Source organism: Homo sapiens, chromosome 2 (assembly GCF_000001405.40).
Source record: "Homo sapiens chromosome 2, GRCh38.p14 Primary Assembly".
NCBI lineage: Eukaryota > Metazoa > Chordata > Mammalia > Primates > Hominidae > Homo > Homo sapiens.
Window position 1 is genome coordinate 180,601,492 of NC_000002.12, and position 20,019 is coordinate 180,621,510.

General features: G+C 34.9%; 1 annotated feature.

Annotated features, from left to right (window-relative positions):
• Positions 6,031 to 6,325: a silencer, noted in NCBI's record as "tiled region #10987; K562 Repressive non-DNase unmatched - State 24:Quies". NCBI's record gives its function as "represses a minimal TATA promoter and a strong SV40 promoter by Sharpr-MPRA in K562 cells {active_cell/tissue: K562}" and the evidence as "EXISTENCE:reporter gene assay evidence [ECO:0000049][PMID:27701403]".

Consider the following 20,019-nt stretch of genomic DNA (forward strand, 5'->3'; position numbering starts at 1 on the left):
GAACTGAGATTGAAATCCCAGCAGGATTCCAGATCCCAAACTCTCAATGTATAATGTATTCATTCATTCCACAAATATTTATTTTTTGCCTTACATGTGTCTAGGTGGTGAGGATATAGCATTGCATAAAAGGGAGAAAATAAAAAAATGTCTTCTGACAAATTTAACTCACTAAGGTGACATGTGAGTTAATATACAGTGCAGCATCGTCCATTAGAAATATAATGCAAGCCACAGATCTAAGCCACATATGTAACTTCAAATTTTTAGTGGCCATATTCTAAAAAAATAAAAAGAACCAGGTAAAATTAATTTTAATAATATATTTATATAACCCAAAATATTATCACTTCCACAAGAAGCCAATATGAAAAAATATTAATGAGGTCATTCTATTTTATAGATATTAAATTTTCAAAACCCAGCGTGTATTTAACACAGCACAGTTTAATTCACACTGGCCACATTTTAAGTGCTCAACAGCACATGTGGCTAGTGGCTACAGTCTGGCACAGGGCAAACTTACAGGATAAGAATGAGTCCACGAGAGGAGCTCAGTGCAAAGACTAGGAGTGGAGAAAGGGCTCTGCATGCCAAAGTGACTGGAACAGAGTAAAGAAGAAGGAGAGTGGTCAAGATGAGGTTTAACAGGGAGGTAGGGGCCCGATCAGGCAGGATATTGTAGGTCATGATTTAGGCAATTCATCTGGGAAAAAGCAGGGATTTCTTTGCCCTTTTGTTCTAAAGCACAACTCCCTTTATCTTTCAAAATCTGAGACCTGAATCCAGTGAGTGTATAATGAATGACTAAATGACCTGCAAACTTTGTTAGCAAAAAGTTGTTTGTGTTAATGATCTTTGCATTGTGTCTCATTTACTTTATCAAAGCAAACTAATGCCTCAAGTCACCTGAGACATCAGTGGCTGAAATACTAACTTCCAACACAGTGTTCAATGTGGGAGCCAATCGAATTTCATCTCTGCAAATAGCATACATGCATAATCAGTTTGGAGAGTTGATATGAAATGAGGCATTTTCATCCAGAGTTGGTTTAGTTCATTAAGGTTGGCTTTGATTTAAATTCCAAGTGATGCTTACCCTCAAAACAGTTAATTCAAGCTCATACTTACTGATAGAAATAAAAAAGAAAAACAACAGTTAAAACAGAATGAAATTATGTGATTCCAAATGTTTTATCCCTTCTCTTCAGTAACCTTAGAATTCAACAGGTGTGTGGCATAGCATCATACAAAGAATGAATATTTGCCGGTCCAAGAATGGTATGATTCCTGTATTTTTTTTTTTCAGATTTAGACAGCACATTCAAAGGTGACTCTGAAATGTTGTAATCTGAAGAACCTGGAAGCACTTGAATCTGCAAAACCTTCTATATCTAACAATAAGCCTTAACAAATTGCTACACATAATTACAGGGACTTCTCCCTAGGTAGCATTCATTATAAGCTGTAAATTTTTAAAAAGATTTAACACTTGTTTTTACACCTTGTTAAAATGTTGTGTCCTTCGCAGTCTACTACTAAGACAATCTTACATTATAAATTTGGAAATACTTCAACATGAAAAAATTATTTTTATATTTTTATCTTGATAGGTAAGTTGAATGATGTTGAGTTATATACCAATAACATTCAAGGAACTATTCGCAAGGAACTAATCTCAATGCTGTTTTCTGGATTTTCCTGCTTTAACAAAAGCCTGCCTTCTTGCTCCATTCCTATTACACAGAACAGCAGTCTTCGTATGAAATTAACAGAAGTGTGTAAGTTCAGGTCACTACTAAGTAAGCGGAACTATTGGAAATCTAGTTTCTACAAATTGAAAATCTCTGTTTCTTATCCTTATCCTTGCAACGTCAAAGGTTGTTTCATCTGTTCCCTCCCTCAGTTAATGTATATCTATCCAACTTTTTATTTAAGACACTAAGATGATCACTGTAGAGGGGTAGGGAAAACAAACAAACAACAACAACAACAAAAATAAGCACATTTGAAAAAACATAAGCGACTCCTAATTAAGAATGTTGCATACATGATTATAACACAATTTAGAATGGGATGTGCCAAATGCCCCTGAAAGATATATACAAAGCAATATGATAATTTAGATAAAGAAGGAATTCCTGGTGAGATTCAGAGATATAGTTATTGAGGATGGTTCTCAAAAATGTGTAGAATTTCAATAGAAAGATTTTTGAGTGAGTAGGCATTTGAGAGAAGGAATCTGTTCAACAGAATGATCACTTTATTTTGTTTTTAAATTGAAGTCTCAATAAAAGGACAAGAGTGAGAGACAAGCAGGCTGGGATCTGGTTCAAGTAAATCCTGAATGGTAGGCTGAATATAAACCTCATTCCATGGAGATTAGGAAGCCTGTGAAAATGTTTCAGCACAGGAAACATTTTTCTTTAGATTTTTTTTTTTTTAGTAGAAAAACACTTAGGATTTATTGTAAGAGAAATGGACAGAAAACAGACAGACCAATTGCAAAGTAATTGAAAGTCCAGTGGTAAAATTGCAGGGGTTGAGGCCTCCAATCTTTGTGACATTGTGAAATTTTATTCTCAAAGCCTAGATCTTTGAGACACGGTAGGGGAAAATGATGATGATGACACAAGTTTCTAATCTGGCCAACGTAAAAAATAGAAAAGTGAGTGAGCTGCTGGTTTGTGGGGAAGACGATGTGGTTGGGACCAATAAAATCTGGCTATCTATTATCCTCCTTAGATTGTGGAACTGAAAGACAAGCTGTAGTGAGAAAAGAGGCCAGGAGGAGGCGTAGAGACAGATATTCTGGAGATAAGACAGACAGATGACAAAGATTCATGACATTCAGACTGTTCCTCTCTAGATAAGACCAGGCCTCTTCTAACAAAATCCCAGGCAAGCCAACTGCAGATTGTAGCTATTGGTTTTCTTCCTCCCCTTATTAGAGAATGAAATCTTAGTTGCATTGTTTCATTAAAAAATATATGTATAAACTGTTGGATGTGGGAGACAAGGGTGTTGAAATGCCTGACCTCACTTTTCTTTTAAGAAAAGGGTTTTCTTTTGTAACTAGTTTTTTTGTGTGTGTGTCTAGAAGGATGTTTTGTGTGTTCATCCACAGAATGGGTAGTGAACCTACTCCAGAAGAGTGAAAGACCCTAACTTTCTAAAAGAGATTTTTGAGATTATCTTACAGTTTTATCTACCTATGTCAAAAAATTACTTTCGGCCACCTTTCCTTGGTCTAAGACCTAACCATTCTTCCAAGTTGTTGTAGTCTGTTCTTCATTCTCCTTTAGCAATGGATTTACAGCCACTATTAACGTTTATCTATTGATATGTAAGTCTCTCTACTAGATTCTAGTATCTTTGCGAACATAGACTGTTACTCATTTTACCAATCTGCAAGTACTTTGCAAAAAGAGGTTGATAAATGATTAGGGAATGAATGCATGTGTAACAACCTGGTTTACTGAGAACATCCTATATGCCAGGGATGTTCTTAGTACTTTGCGCTTGCCACCTCATTAATCTTTGCCATAAACCTATAAGATCGGGACTGTTACGTTGCCTAAAGCAAGGTGAGGGTTAGTACTGGTTATATAAGTAGCAGAGGTAGAATGTGAACCTAGGAAGCCTGGCACCATAGCCTGTGATCTTAGTGACTATGTATATTGTATATTGCTGGTACTGTAGTTCATGTCCTGATTTGCTTGCCACATATAGGGGAGGAGAAAGGGGCAAAATGAAATTTGGAGCAATGACTTTGAAATCATGAGTATATGATTTCATACAAGTCATAAATTAATTTCTCAGTTTCCTCATATAAAAATGGATTAATAGAAGTATTTATTCATGAAATCCTTGTGTCAAATAAATGAGACAATGCACATAAAAATGCACATAATAAAAACAAATCTTCATGATAATGCAAAGTATGCCTAAAGTGTTTAACTCACATCTTCTCCTTTGAGATCACAATACCACATTCCATCTGGGAGTGAGATCTTAGCATCTACCCTTCTGCATTTGATGCTATACAACATTATTTTTCCCAAGAGCAATGATTTCTCATCAGTATGACGCTATCCAATAACAGTCGTAAAAATATAGAAAGTAGCATTCATGTCCATTAGTAAGAATGATCGACAGGCCAAAAAATTAAGGGCCTTATTATTTTGTAACTAAAAATGAATCTCTCTCAAATGTTAAGTTGGAGGCATTTCTTATTTTCTTATTAGGGGGTGATAATTAAGCTAATAATAGCATACTTTACTCTGTGTGGTGGCACACTGATGCATTTTTCTTTTTAACCAACCTACCGTGTTATATGTAGTTACAGCACTCGGAGTACATAGTTAAGCAAACACATGGGTAGCAAAGAAAGGTCATTATTAAGAGATTGTTTTATTTATTTAAAAAAGTATTTTTCTTTGAAATTTTTCTAACAAAATGGTATTCAATCTAGAAATTACAGTAAGAAACAAAAGATGCTAACTCTAATGAAGGAGAAGTGACAAAAGAGGTTGGAGAAGAAATACATGCTTTAACGCTCCTATTCTCCAGATAAAATAAGGCACCTGATACTAACACATGAGTCCCTGCCAAGAGAAAATAATCATTGTATTGTAGTGGCTCTTTGTGCACAGAATTTAAGGACAGGGCCTACTCTTATCCTTGAGGGAAAAAAGTAAGTATCTGATTTAAAATATCCACTAATGTGCTTACAAGAAATAATGCATAACCCATTAGCAAGCCTTTGCATAGCAAATTAATAATTTGAGATTCGGAATTTACCTGAAGGTCTCAGATTTATACTAGTTTAACTTTTTCTTCACTTCTTTTGAATTATGGACATGGGAACAATTTTTCATACTATTTGGTGAGCCTGTTACTTTTAGCAATAGCACTTGCAGTGTATGTCTTGAATTTGAATGTGTATATATGAAAGCTACAACCAAATGGCCTATGAGATATTATTAGTTTCTTTACACAAAATCTGCTAGAATATGATATTTTAAAATTTTACAGTATAAAGTAAAAACTTTCAAAATATTAATTGAATCTCAATAGGAAGCGATGTAGCATATAAGAAGTCCAGTTTACTGCTTTGAATTGTTCTCTTAATAAATCTCACTATGCTAGAATGATGACTCTCATATTTTGCCTGCATTAAAATCATTTTAGAAGGTAATTGGTTTAGCTTGTTGTAATACTACCTGATAATATTTCTTTTGCTTTTCAAGCAAAGAATAAGGTATCATTAAATTATTGGTGCATGGGGAAGTAATGTATTACAAATGTTAGTGAGTACAGAATATAAAATGGACTTGAGAAAAATAAATACGCTTCATTCAGGAGACTTACTGCAGGTTTCGTTGGATTATTTAAACTCATTCAGATAGGTTTCTATTTGATGGGCAAGAATTGCTTGGTAACCCATTCTCTTTATTTTTCTTATATGAAGTTTACTAATTGAAAAATATATAGAAAATACATTAAAAGCATTAGAAGGTGTATTTTGGAAAATTCACCTAATCCTACTTTAGAATTAAAATGAGATGTGCTATTGTTTTGAACATTTAAAAAAATAAGGTATATCAAAGTTTAATTTTTGTTGTTGAACCTGAAATTAGAGAAATAAAATGATTAGGTTTACATAACTTTAATGCATTTTTTTAAAATTAGAATGTCCACAACCATAAAATGAAACAATTTTTTCAAATAGACTGTCCTAAGTGATATATCGGTATATAATAAATATAAGATATAATGTAATAAATAAAATAAAATAAGTATGTGATAAATATGTAAACGTGTGTGTAACTATACTTTCTACGGATGATTTTTAATAAGTTAAAACATAATACTATTTTACTAAATTGAGAATATTTTAATTCAGTAGATATATCAAATTAGCTGAATGTTTTCCTTCCACAGAAATTTTTTTAAAAAATCAATAGCCCATTGTTTTTTTCCAGACTGAGGCGAACTGAACGAATTAACTAAGTCTGAGGGAGTGGGTAGTTCGTAAAGTCATAGCCCAAGAGTCTAAAGTTTCCCTAGCATCCAGCTTACTCTTGTGTGTACAATTATATACATCATTTTAACAAATTTAGCAAGTGCTGCTCACTGACTTAGCCTGATATTTCACCACAATACACAACTGTAGGTTGGAGGGCAGGTGCCTTGTGAACTGTGGACAGAGTCCCGATCAGCTGAGCACACACAGTATGTAAACATGTCAGAATAGATAATGGATACAGTGATAGATGCTTCTGTGGTGAGGAAAATCAAAGAAGCTGTCATTTAGCTTGACAAAAGAAAGGGATGGAAAGCAGGACCGACTGCCCTGAGCAAGGAAGACAGGTGGTCCAGCTGAAGAAGGGAGGGAGCAGTAATGATCTTGGAGGCAGTTAATGGCTGTCTGATCTATGGCATCCTTGTACATAAATATAAGCCATTTACCAGCTAAAAATGCTTGAGAAGGCAAAGGAATAGAAGTCACCATTATTTTTCCCCTTATCTTACATCGGTTATTTGGCAATTTGGATAAAATGAATATTTAATTTTGAGAGATTATGGAAGACTATCCTCTAACTACCAACATCTGCTATAAGAAAATAATTTTATGTACAAGTACTATACTCTGGTTGGTTAGTTGGTTGTCAAGCTGTAGAATTTATGAGCTGGGTTTAATGAAATTAAGTGGATGTTGTGATTGAAGAAACTAGACATCTTGTTACATGAAGAGTTAAGAGCTAATTTATTTGTTACAAATCTCACAGTCAATGCCTCAATCAATTGGGGAAAATGTCCAAAAAGCTGAAACATAAACATGTGAAATACATCCATGGTATGGTAAGCTTTAAGGGAGTTGACCATTTCAGTTGATAAAACAGGAAGGATTATAGAAGCCAAATCAGCTTAAGGCAAAAGTTCAAGTACCAATTAAGATAGAGCCTAATAGAACCTATTCGTCAGCTATTAAGTGACTCTGTAGACAGTGAAAGTCTATTTGTTACAGAGATGAGATTTGTTCACAATTTTAACTATACTTAAGTATAATTTTAAGTATTTTCAGATTTCAGATGAACAGACGTGCTAGAGGTTAAAGGGAGAAGATTACTGTCATTAAAATGCATATTTAATTGAATTGTCCAGGCCTTTGATTTTTTCCTTCCACATTCCTTCTGCTTTAAGATTCAATTCTTTTGTCTATAGAAATTATATGTGGGAAATTATCAATGCAATACTTTTTGTTTATTTACCCTAATGAATGGAAGCAGTGATATCAATGTAAGTAGATAAAAGCAATCTAAAAATACTTGTCTTTAATGTTATATTTAAAAATTTGCATGATTATTTCTGTATATATATACTGCATAGCTACAGTAAAAGATGTTTGATTGCATATTATATTTTGTCTCAATCTCTCTATATTTGCTACTAGCCGACCACAAAAAAAATTAAAAAATAAAATAAAAAAACATGGATTCTGACACTTAAATCTTGAACTGGAACCAAATATGCCAACTTTTAACATACTTCCTTGCCTTATTAGAAAGCTGGTCTTGGTCAAAGCATTTACTTTACTGAGTCTCAGTTTCTTGTTCACAGAAATGAAGTGAAGAATGTTTCTCTTATTGATCTTGCCATGGAGAACAAATGGAATAAGGTATGTTACTCTACTTCGATAAATGCACAGATTAAAACTCAAGGCCACAGACAAATGAGCTTGGTCTCCACCTTAAATAAAATCCTAGAATGGAATAGAAAAATGACTAGTGTTTACTAGGAGAGAATAAAACGTATCTAACCTCATTTCTTTGTTTCATGGAATTCTTAATTGTTTGGTCAGGAAAATTAGGAAGGAATATTATGTCTAAATTTTAAGACCCTTGACAAAATCCATTTTGATCATTTTGCAAACAAGTTTTATAAATATAGAGTGAATTGAAGAAAAAAGAGATATTAACTAAAATCCTCTGTGCCAATTACAGTGCTTGGCGTTAACATGTATTATTTTGTTTAGTGCTTCCAAGCTTGTAATCAACCTCTGAGGGATAGTGTAACAGGGGTGGGTGAAGTACATGCTCTAGAACTAGAGTACCTGCTTTAAATCTCAGGTCCCTTGCTTTCAAGCTGTGTGACCTCAAACAAGTTATTTAACTGCAATGCACCTCAGTTTTCTCACAAGAGGCACATTGTGGTTATAAACAAAATAGTTCACAGCTTAATAGAGTTATCATGAGGATTAAATAAGTAAATACCTATAAAGGTTTTGGAATACTGCCTGACACATAGTTAGCAGTTAATAAATAATATTTGCTAACAGCTTTTAAGCAATTATTAAATGTTAACTCAGAACACTGCAGTTCATTAAGTGATTTGTCCAGCCTCTCATACAAATTAAGAAATGGAGTAATGATTCAGGTCTGTCTGAATCAGACCCATCTCCCTTTATGGCTCCAACACTTTATTCTTTAAACATCTCCATACCAGGCTGTATGGACTACTGGACTCTGCCAAAAGTATGGGGTGACAGATTGGGATAATATCACAGCGTTGCAAACAGCTAAGAATGCAACATTAGATATTCCTGTACTTAAAATTACGATTCAGGCTCATCACCAGTGGAAACTTCTCTCTAGTCATGTTTTTATGCAGTCTTGGCTGTCTGCCATATTCTCCAATTAATATCTCTCACTCCTTCTATCTGTCACTTTCTCTCTCTCTCTCTTCTCTAAACTCACTGTTCCTCCTCTCTTCTATGATTTCCATCCCCTTTACATGCCTGATAACTTCTTATGCCGCATGGTTTTGCTTCCATTTTGCTTAGTTTTTGTTTTTTTCTAGGCTATATCTTCAAGACCTCACCTGCCACTTTCAGATTGCATATTAAAATTTTCTATTATGCAAACACTCACACACAAGTTTCTTACATAGGAGAAACTTGAGTTTCAAGAGGTAAGATAATATCTTCCGAGCTAGTCATTTGACCAATTTGCCTCCCTGCTTTAAAAACCTGGCATATTTTCCCATTACCTCTAGGATAAACTCCTTCATTTGGCATTAAAGACCCCTTTTAATCTGTTCCTTAGCTAGTTTTCTAGTGTAACCTTCATTATAATAAAGAAAAGTGGAAAATAAAGATTATGGAAATTTTTTTAAACACTTGTAACTTCCACCACATAATGATAAGATGCATTACACAGTTGATGTCCATCTTTATGTCCTATCTGTGTAACTACATAAATTTTACATTATAAAAATTGAAAGCCACTTCATATTCTTTCTTAAAACCTGTTTTTAAGAAATAAACAATAAATTGTTCTCTAATATTAATAAATATTAATATATAATACCATTCTTAATGGTTGAAGAGAATGTTAATATAGGGCACTAATTTTATCAGTTCTGTGATCTCTAAATAGTTATACTTTTCCCAACTTTTTGACACTATAACCATCACTGTTATAAGCTTCCTTGTAGCCAAATCATTGCATATATCCTTATAAATATTAGTATAAATTTATAAATGTAGAATTGGCAGCTTAGTATATACGTGTAAAAATCGTGTTTCACTCAAACCCCGGGTAGGGCTATATGTTATAAAATTGTAAATATGTGTCAACGCTTTGGTGAAAATTATATCTTACAGCTGTACCCAATGTTGCATAACTCTTTCTTAGCACGTTAGGATATGTATTCCTATATATCCAAATATCTCATTTTCAGTACGTGAAAAATGTTGTTCTTATATATCAAACACTTAAGATATTCAATAATCGTATTTTGAGAGAACATCAGAAAGTAAAAGCTAATTTTGTTAAGAAGTCTATGACAGTCTCAGAAGCAATGAAAATTCTTATGTATCCATTTATGTGTGACTATTAAGTTAAAATAAAAGAATTTGTTTAATACTAAACTTTGTTTACATGATGAAATTAAATTTAGAAAGAATAAATAAATACTAAGAAACACATGTAATTCTCATCAGTAATCATAATCAAATGGGCTCATATTATTGCCATTAATTATAAATTAAGAGTTGGTGATGGTCTCATAAACATTGATGCTTGCATGTTCATTGTCTGGAGCTGTAACTTGGAAATGATATTCTGTTGATCCTTATAAAGCCAGGGTTTTATAAGACAAAAGCATATCATATGGCTAGATAGAAGATAGCACGTTGGGCCCTGCACATGATTCTTGTTCCGACCTCTGTAGGATGTGTGAAGTCCTGGGACTGATCGATGGGAGTGGGTGATCCACAGTCCACTGTGGCCTGTTTCCTATCAGGGTGGAAGCTCTGGAAGGGCATATCTGCGAGAGCTGGTATGTTGGGTGTTGTGATTGTGACAGGCATGTTAGGATGTTCAGAACAGTTAGGCAAGGTCTGTCAGTGTGTCTGGACCAGTCCTCCTTCGGAGCCACCGATGTCCAGAGGAGCCTGCGTGTCCCTGTGGTTGGTATTCCATGTTCAGGAGTCCCAGAACAAGCTCTAAGTACCTTCAGAGTGCTCAGGATGTCTAGGCCATCAAGCTAGAATTCTCCAGGAAGTCAGAATGTTGCCCATGTCTTTGTTACTCCCAAACCCCTGCAGAGGTCTATATGAAGATAGACTTCTCCAGTTGGGAATATAAAGCGTATGCAAAGAAGGATGCTAGAAGCAGGATTTTTATTCCCTTTCTTGTTCCTAGCATGTGCTTCTGGAGGAGACAGGGAGTGAGGATCCATCCAGAGCCCAGCCTAGGCTAAATAAGACTCCTGAAAATGCTATAGAAAAAGTTCTCTAAATATTTTAGTTATACTGCTAATACAGCACTAACACATTGTACTTTGATAGACTTTAGCCACTTTAATATGGTTTAAAAAGAACTTTCATTATATGGTTCCAGAATGGGTTTTCCGGAAATAGACTCTGAAATCAGAATTTTAATCTGAAATAAGAATAAGAAATAGACTTGGAAATACGTTTATTTGGTCAATAAAGGAAGCTCTGATAGAGAAGAGTGCAAATGAGATATAAGAAGTCAGTATCTTATTAAGGTAGTTACCACTGAAGGTAACTGAAGATTACCTGAAGCAACTGAAGTCTTCGGTTGAAGACTGCTGTTGGGGTAAGCGGGCAGCACTTCTGGCCAGGTTCAGAGGCAGGTAAAGTGGCTTCAGTGCTATTTGCCTGTTAAAGTCCTCAGGCTAAAAAAGAGAAATGGTGATGTGTGGAATTTGGACCTGCATATATTAAGGAGATACAGGCAAGACTCTCACAATGTCTGCCACAGATCCCTTTCTACTTACCTAGCCTCACTTCGTTCTTATGTCACATGCTCTAGGAATTCTTACTAGCTTGCTGTTTCTTTCACTATACAGGATATTTATTGGATATACACTGTGTTCTAGGTACTTCATCAGGTACTCAAAATGCGAGAGCAAAGATAGAAAGGGTCCCTGCTTTCATGGACACAATGTTCTTTCTTCTTTCTGAAATATTATTTTCATTGCCCACTGTCTTAGTCTGTTCAGGCTGCTATAACAAAATATCATAAGCTGGGTGGCTTATAAACAACAGACATTTATTTCTCATGGTTCTGGAGCCTGGGAAGTTCAAAACCAAGGCGTCTGCATATTTGGGGTCTGGTGAGGGCCCACCTCCCAGACAGCTGTCTTGTCAGTGTAACATTACATGGCAGAAAAGGCAAGGCAGTTCTCTGGGGCCCATTATATAAGGGCACTAATTTCATTCATGATGTCTGTGCTCTTATGACCTAATCACCTCCCGAAGGCCTCACCTCCTAATACCAACATGTTGGTAATTAGGTTTCAACCTATGAATTCTTCTGGGATGGGGAGTTACATTCAGACCATAGCATCCACCTAATACACTTGTTCACAAATGAAACTTTGTTTTTTTCCTCACAAAAATGAGAGCCTGACGAAGGCAGAAACCATCCTGCCTCATTCACTGCTAGAGTCTCAGCCCCTGGCAAAGAGTTTGGCATACAGCATGTGTCCAACACATTTCAGTTGACTGTGTGATACTATAGGTGATTATAAATGTGAAAGTTGGCTTGGTTAGAGGAGGATATCCTTGAGGGCACTCGTGCCTTATTCAGCTTTGTGTCTCTGGAACTTAATATATCTCTGACACATTATAGATATTCAATATTTTTAATAGAGTTAAATTCAGTTTAATCAAATTGAATTATTGTTTAAAATACATTGACCCAGATATACTGATAACTTGAAATCATGTTTCATAAATTATCGTTGAAGGAATTGGAAATATTACATTTGAAAAAGACAAACCTCGGAGAGGACATAGCACTTGTCTTCAAATGTCATTGGTACTGATAAAGAAAAGACACTGGACTTGTTGAGTCTGTCCCAGAAGAAAACAGATTTTAGCACTAAATTAGAGCTATCAAATTTAATATGCTACTGTCAGGGGCCATTAGTTGCACATCATTGGAAGTGCCCAAGCAAAGACTGGAATGTGGTAGAGAAAATTTAGCAGTAATACATGCAGTTGATATAAGTACCTGAGATTCTATGATTCTTCTAGATAATTACAAAGCAATGTATTTCTTCATCTTTGTCAAACATAATTTTACAAAGAGTGTTCTAGGAGAAAATTATCTCTACCTTTTCCCCAATGAGGTTGTGTGTTCAGCTAATTGTTGAATTGCTTTATACCTCACAAGTGGTTTTCACATAATCCTTGCAGAGATTCCTTGCATAGGCAGACAAAGTATTATCCCCATTTAACATGAAAGATGACAGATGCTTATAGAAATTAACTCATTTGTTAAAAGTCACACATATAGTAATTGATGGAAATAGAAGTTGAACCTAGGTTTTTCTGCTTTCTCATCCTAAGCTGTCTACCTACCATACCATGCCACTTCTATTATTACTGAAATTCAGATAGGAAAAACACAACCATCTTTTTAAATAATAATGCAGCGCCTCCCTTGCAGAAGAACTCTGACAAGCCCTCTGTAATTTGTAGTTGAGAATTGAGTTTAAGTTGTATGATCAACAGCACACAAATAAGTAGAAACAAGATCAGGTTTAGAACACAGGGCTCTAGTAACTCAGGTTGCCCCGCATCATCTTACTGCTTTTTCTGGGAGGAATTATGATGATGCTTTTATGTTTCTGAACAGGAAATGTTTATAAATCTTAATGTACCATTTGCAAGTGATGTTACCTTATGAATATTAAAAGATTAGGAAATGACATTGGCTTTTGTTGAAAACCTTAAGTGACCCTATAAGCAGACACAACAAATGATTGCTTTTATTTTGGTGCCCTCTAAATATTATTAAAACTCTTTATAGTTGGCAATAAATAATGACAAACGAATGCTTGATTTATAGCAATTATAGTACAGATGAGTTGGATTCATGTGCTGCACTGTAATGAAGATAATAGCTCAAAACACATGAGAAACAGTCACTCAGTGAAATATGAGCTGATTTGCATGATCCATGTCCCTTGAGTAACCTGTAATTGGCTATTATGAAATGGACTAAGAATGATTTGGACTAAGGAGAGGACTGGATTACTATATATTTTACATGGATATTTTTTATTTCCAACATCAGAATATTTTGTGGCATGTAGAATCTGTGCCCCCATATCTAACATGTGGAGGTATTCGACAGCTAAAGGCCATTCTTCTCTAACACCTTTGAAAATTTTTTTCATTGAAAATAGCATCACATCAATTTTATTCACAGGAAACATCACACAAAATTGTCCTTTTTTAGCTTCAAAATGTCTTACATTATTTCTTAGTAACCCTTTTAAGAGTAGATTTTGAGGATATGGCTGAAATAGCATTGTGGAATTCCCAAAGGGATTCCAAGTATATGTGTGACTTAATTTCTTCAGCAAGGAAAATTTAGGTAACTCTTATTTTTAATATTTGAGATCTTAGGACACTTCTAGTGAAAACTGGCTTCATTAGTGTTTTAAATATTTGCCTGAATCTTCCCTGGACACTCCTCCCAGTAGAAAACCACACCAAAAAACAATACACATAAACATTGGTTATTTTTCTTTCTTGGTGAAATTAACTGCCATTTTTGAAAAGCAATGAAGGGAATTGTACCAAACAGTATTTAACGCTTAGACCTTCTGTCACGCTTCTGAAATCCCATTCTCATTTTCACACAAATAACCCAAGGGATACAGTTAGTCCCACTGTAAGTGGGATCATCAATGTTTATCCTAAGCTATGGCTACAGCAGCCATAATGGGAAAACATATACCATAATTAAGAGCTATAGCCAACTAATTAGGTCAAATTATATCTAATTATAAATCCAGTAATCTATGTCCAAACTAGTTGCTGGTAGCTAAAGGAAAATAATATAATTTTCATTAATCTCCATTATGGTTTATCCAACATCTTCTGATCTCCTGACGATACACTGATCCTCATTACTGTTTTCTTTCATATGGACCACTGCAATACCTTATTTCTCTGCATCAATTTTTGCTTCCTTCCAATTCATTCCCCATACTGCAGCCGGAATTATTTTTGTAAACTCAACCTTATCATGTAACTTTCTTGTTTAAAACCTTCCAAAGGCCAACAGAATAAAGAGTACATTTCTTGACAGGTGTCCAGGATCTTTTATGATCTGACTCCTGCCTAGGTCTCCTACTTGATCTGACAGTGGAATCTCCCTCACTGTCTTGGGTGAAACCTTTGTTCAGATTCTTACTCGTGGCATTCTTCCTCTTGCATTGCGGATTCTCTGCATTTGCTTCTGTCTGGTTGGGAGTACTTTCTACCACCTCCTCTGCTTTACTTTCAAGTGATTTGCTTCTACTTATTTTTTAGATCTCAGCTCAAATCACCTCATTAAGAAAACTATCTGTTACCACCAGTACTTTTCAATTGTGGTATTTCTTTTTAATTTCTTTTAATTGTAAAATTATGTGGCTAAGGTCTATCTCTTATTAGACTATACATGCCATGAAGATAAGGATGACATCTGTTTTGCTCACAGCATATCCAGACTATTCTTGTACAGTTCTGGCACCAGTATATGCAATAAATATTTGTTGATCAATATGTAAAAAGTAGACGAACATGTAATTCAATGGTGAGAAATAAAGTTGAATAATGTGAAGACAAATTCATTGTTTAACATCGTAAAAAAGTACATGCATTTGTCTCTTCGGCCCCCAAACCTCTCACTCAAAATGTATAAACACACACAAACAACGAGAATAGGACAATAGTTAAAAGTAGACTAGAGAGTTAAACAAATTAATTAGGGATTGAAAGTGAACTAAATGAGCTGAATCTGTCTTAGCAAAGCAGGGATTGCTAACACCTTAAAGATCTTTGAAATGAATACCAAAGAGAGATAAACTGATTTCTACCCACAGAATTCCAGAAAGTCTCAGATACTAGAGGCACCAAGTATCATGGAAGTAGAGTGAGGTGAGGGGCTGAAAACAGGGGGATTGTTTGAAAATCTGTTGAAAATAAAATGCCGTTGTACAATCCAAGTACCACACTTCTCTACCCGACGTGCATTGAACTACCAGATGATAAAGCCTCTCTCTACCTTCAGTTGAAACAGGAGAAGTATTGGTTGGTGCAAAAGTAATTGTGGTTTTTGCCATTACTTTCAATGGCAAAAACCGAAATTACTTTTGCGCCAACTGAATATTATCTACAAAAGTTTCACTGGAAAATCCCAAGACTCAGAAACACCAGACAAGCGGAGATCAAGTATAAGACACTGCTCTGGTAATGGGAGGAATAAATGAGAATCTACACACACAATTTGAAAACTCTATGTCTCTTTGTTATACTCAGCTCCAAGCATGTCGGCAGAGATGGACAGAATAGAATACTCACCGGGCAAAAGATGAGAGTATTCTATTCTAGAGAAACTGATTACCTCTAGATAACAAGCCTACAGATAATGACATTTGTGGGTTTTGGAATAATTTTTTTGTGTTTTTACACAATTGTATTGCTATTAAGTTCACCAATCAATAAGTCACATCAATGTATACATAGCTTCTAATCATCTTCTTAATCACTTACTCTTAAATTTGATAGTTACTCAAGAATAACCAAATAATTAAGGAATGTCTAGAACATGAAAGAGAAGGAACAAACAAAGGCATTTTCATAGGAAACAGAAACAAGGCAGGCAACAGAAGAAAATGTTTTGGAAAATCCTCTAAGTAATTATTTCAAAGTAGGATATGAGGCTGCATCCAAGAAATAAGAAAATAACTCAAAAACAATGCATCAGAAAATGAAAAACATGATACCCAAACTGAAAATTTTAATAGGAGGTTTGGAAAATAAATTCAAAAAAATCTCCAAAACTGTTGAATAAAAAAAAAAACCTGTGAACAATACATGAGAAAAGAATTATAGAATTAAACTAAGAAGGCTAACATATGGCTAAAATTAGTTCCAGAAAGAACAGAAAACTGAAAGGGCAGAAATTATCAAAGAAATGATATATAACCACAAGACTGTCTTCCAGAACTAAAGAATATCAGTTCTCAAGTCGAAATAGGCCATGTGGGGGTCTGGGGGGAAAGGTGATGTACTTTGTAATTTCAGAATGCTGGAGGTAAGAAAAGTTAATGAAAGCCAGGTCCCAAAGAACTGATACAGCTTCAGAGATTGGCAAGCACGTTGACTGTTGATTTAAGGCTACTCTCATTTTAACTCTTGAACAAACCAATAAACAAGCAGTGCAAAGGTATATAGAAGACAAGGACACAAGTAAACAAACATTGCTCCACATGGCTTCCCTGGCTCTTCACAGAGGTACATTACAAGTTATGTGGTCAAGATGGCCCACATGGACTAAGGAGTAATCTGGTGAGATGAGCTCAGAAGTATAGCCTCATTGATGCTGCAATATTGGGCTAAGATAGAGCCATATGAGCACTCAAGAGTCCATAATTAGTAATTTAAACCATATGAAGGAAGTCTTGCTATGGGCCAGCCATGGTGGTTCACGCCTGTAATCCCAGCACTTTGCAGGGCCGAGGTGGGTGGATCACCAGAGGTTAGGAGTTCGAGACCAATCTGGCCAAAATGGCGAAATCTGATCTCTACTAAAATAACAGAAATTAGCCAGGCATGATGGCGTATGCCTGGGATCCCATGTACTTAGCAGGCTGAGGCAAGAGAATCACTTGAACCTGGGAGGCAGAGGTTGCAATGAGCTGGGAGCATGCCATTGCACTCCAGCTTGGGCCACAAGAGCGAAACTCTGTCTCAAAAAAACAAACAAAACATCTTACTATGTCATAATCCTACAATTATCTATTCTGTTTCCTGTTCCTCACTAGGCTAACATCTGTTCTGACCACATCCTTCCAAACCAATAAAGGCACAGGAACCAGCACGGCATCAGACATCTCAAAAACAATCTTGGGAAAAAAGGGGATTAAAGACAAACCTTCAATCTCCAAGGGAGATTGATTTCTGAGCTAGAATTCTGTAACAATCCTGACAGATAATAAAGTGTAAGGGTAAAATAAAGACATTTTTACGCATGTAGGCTCTCAAAAATTGTTTAATTTCTGTGAACCCTTTCTCAGGAAGCTAGAGGATGTATTCCACCAAGAAAATAAACGTTTTAGGATCTAAGGAGCAGGGGTTAGTACATAGCAAAACCAAAGAGATTTTCCAGGAAATGGTGAGGAATATCCTCAGGACAATAGTTGTACATACATCTGAGTGCAGGAACAGAAAGATATGGGAATAAAACAGAACTGATTGAATGCTTAACTAATCTTGCCTTGTAGAAAACAATATAACTTAAAATATTTAAAAATGTATTTTTAATTTCAGAAAAAGTAAAAGAAAGTACAACAAATGTAGTGTATGCATATTATATTATTTTGCTAAGCTCTCAGTATTATCGATATAGCTATAATATTATAAACATTATTGGGATAATGGGCAAGATATATAATATGTAAGGGCCAAATTCTTATCTTCTAAAATATGCATTAATCCTTTCATCCTGCCATATCATTTCTAGGAATATTTCCCAAAAGAAAATTGTTAAATTTTTAATAACTTATGGCCAAGGTTATTCACTTTGATATTATTTATAATAGCAAAAAGTGGATATGATTTGATGAATTTAATGGACAACTGACTCAGTAAACTATGGTACATTCCCACAATAAAATATAATGCAGTTATAGAAAAGGAATAAGGAAGATCTTTGTATATCAAGTGATCTCTTAGATATACTGTTAAATGGCAAAAGTCAAAATATACAATTGTGACTAATAAATGCAGAGCAAATAACTGAACTACTAAATCGCTACTTTGTAATTCCTAAAGAAATTTTTAAATCAAGTTAAAATCATCATCACATGAAACTGTTAGAAAAAGGTTTTAAATGGAATTTTAAAGTAGAGACATTAGGTTGTCATCCCCTGAATCCAAATTTTAGTCATAACATCTACTGAGAATAGGAGGACCAAACATTATCCAGACCTGATGTTCTTCTGGAGGTCTGACAGGAAATCTTAAGTCATCATCTTACATTCGATTTTTTTTAACTCTTCTTATTTATCTTAACAAATGCCCATAATTGGTACATTCTACTCCATAACATATGCACTTATTGCACTTATTTTGATACAACACTATCAATGTTTTAATTATATGCCACTGAGCAAAATTGATGCTCTAGAAATATGTACCTTATATCTTCTGTAGTTTCATGTAGTTTCCTCCTTTCTTGCTTAAAGATTTTCACCATAACCTCTGTGTGTGTGTGTGTGTGTGTGTGTGTGAGAGAGAGAGAGAGAGAGAGAGAGAGAGAGAGAGGCAACATTTTCACAAAGTTTGGTGGTTAAGGCAGAAGAATCGCTTGAACCTGGGAGGCGGAGGTTTCAGTGAACCAAGATCATGTCACTGCACTCCAGCCTGGGCGACAGAGTGAGACTCCATCTCAAAAATAAAATAAAATAAAATAAAATAAAATAAATAAAGATAGAAAAAAGAAAAAAATTAAAAGAATGTCTAAGATGATACTAGGAATGTCTTTCTTTGGTCGGTTTTATTTGAAAATAGAAGAGACATAATTAGGATTGTTGGCAAGTGAAGAAAGGCTAAGTGGAAGAGTATGGATTGAAGATGATAGAATGAAATAATGTTTGATGGATCAGTACAAAAAATAGAAGAGGAGAAAGGGAAGAGAACACAAAAAAACACTGCAGAAAATACAGTAGCTCAGTGAACTATGGCATACAATATTCAGTCAAATTAACATCAACTCAAAATAGGTGGGACTCACTTCCATATCCAACTCCAAATTTCTCCAGTGAATTTATCTCACTTTCTAGACTGTCCTAGTATGTTAGATACTATCCTTTGAATACAAGTGAAATTTTAATTCCTCTGCTTACTATGTACTAGGCACAGTTCTAAGTGCCTAAATGTATTACCTCAAGCAATCCCTTGAGTGGTATGGAGCAGGATATACATCTTCATTCCACAGATCGATAACTGAAATACAGAAAGGCTAAGTAACTTGCATAAGTCAGACATCTAGTAAGTTGTAGAGTCAGGAATCAAACATAGGGATTCTAATTCCACAACCTGCATGCTTAATCAACTCTAATATAAGCAGTCAGGTTTGATTCCTTATGGATTTCCATTGTTAAAACTGTATAATAATATTCTCTTTTCTGACTTTTAACACGTCTTTAAAATAACAGCAAACTGAAGCAACTTCAAAAGTAGAATAAAAAACATTTTTAAAGAAGAGAATAATAAAAACAGGTATTCTTTGTATAGAACAGAAGATTTCTAAGATAAAAACAATACTATTCATTCATGCAGTAATTTACCAATATAAATATCACTAGTTAATCTTAAAGTTATGCAAGATGACTGGTCAAGGTCCTAAATGATCCATGGAAAATTAGTTTCACATATAAATTCAATTGTGTTAATAGTGGTTATTAATCAATGTC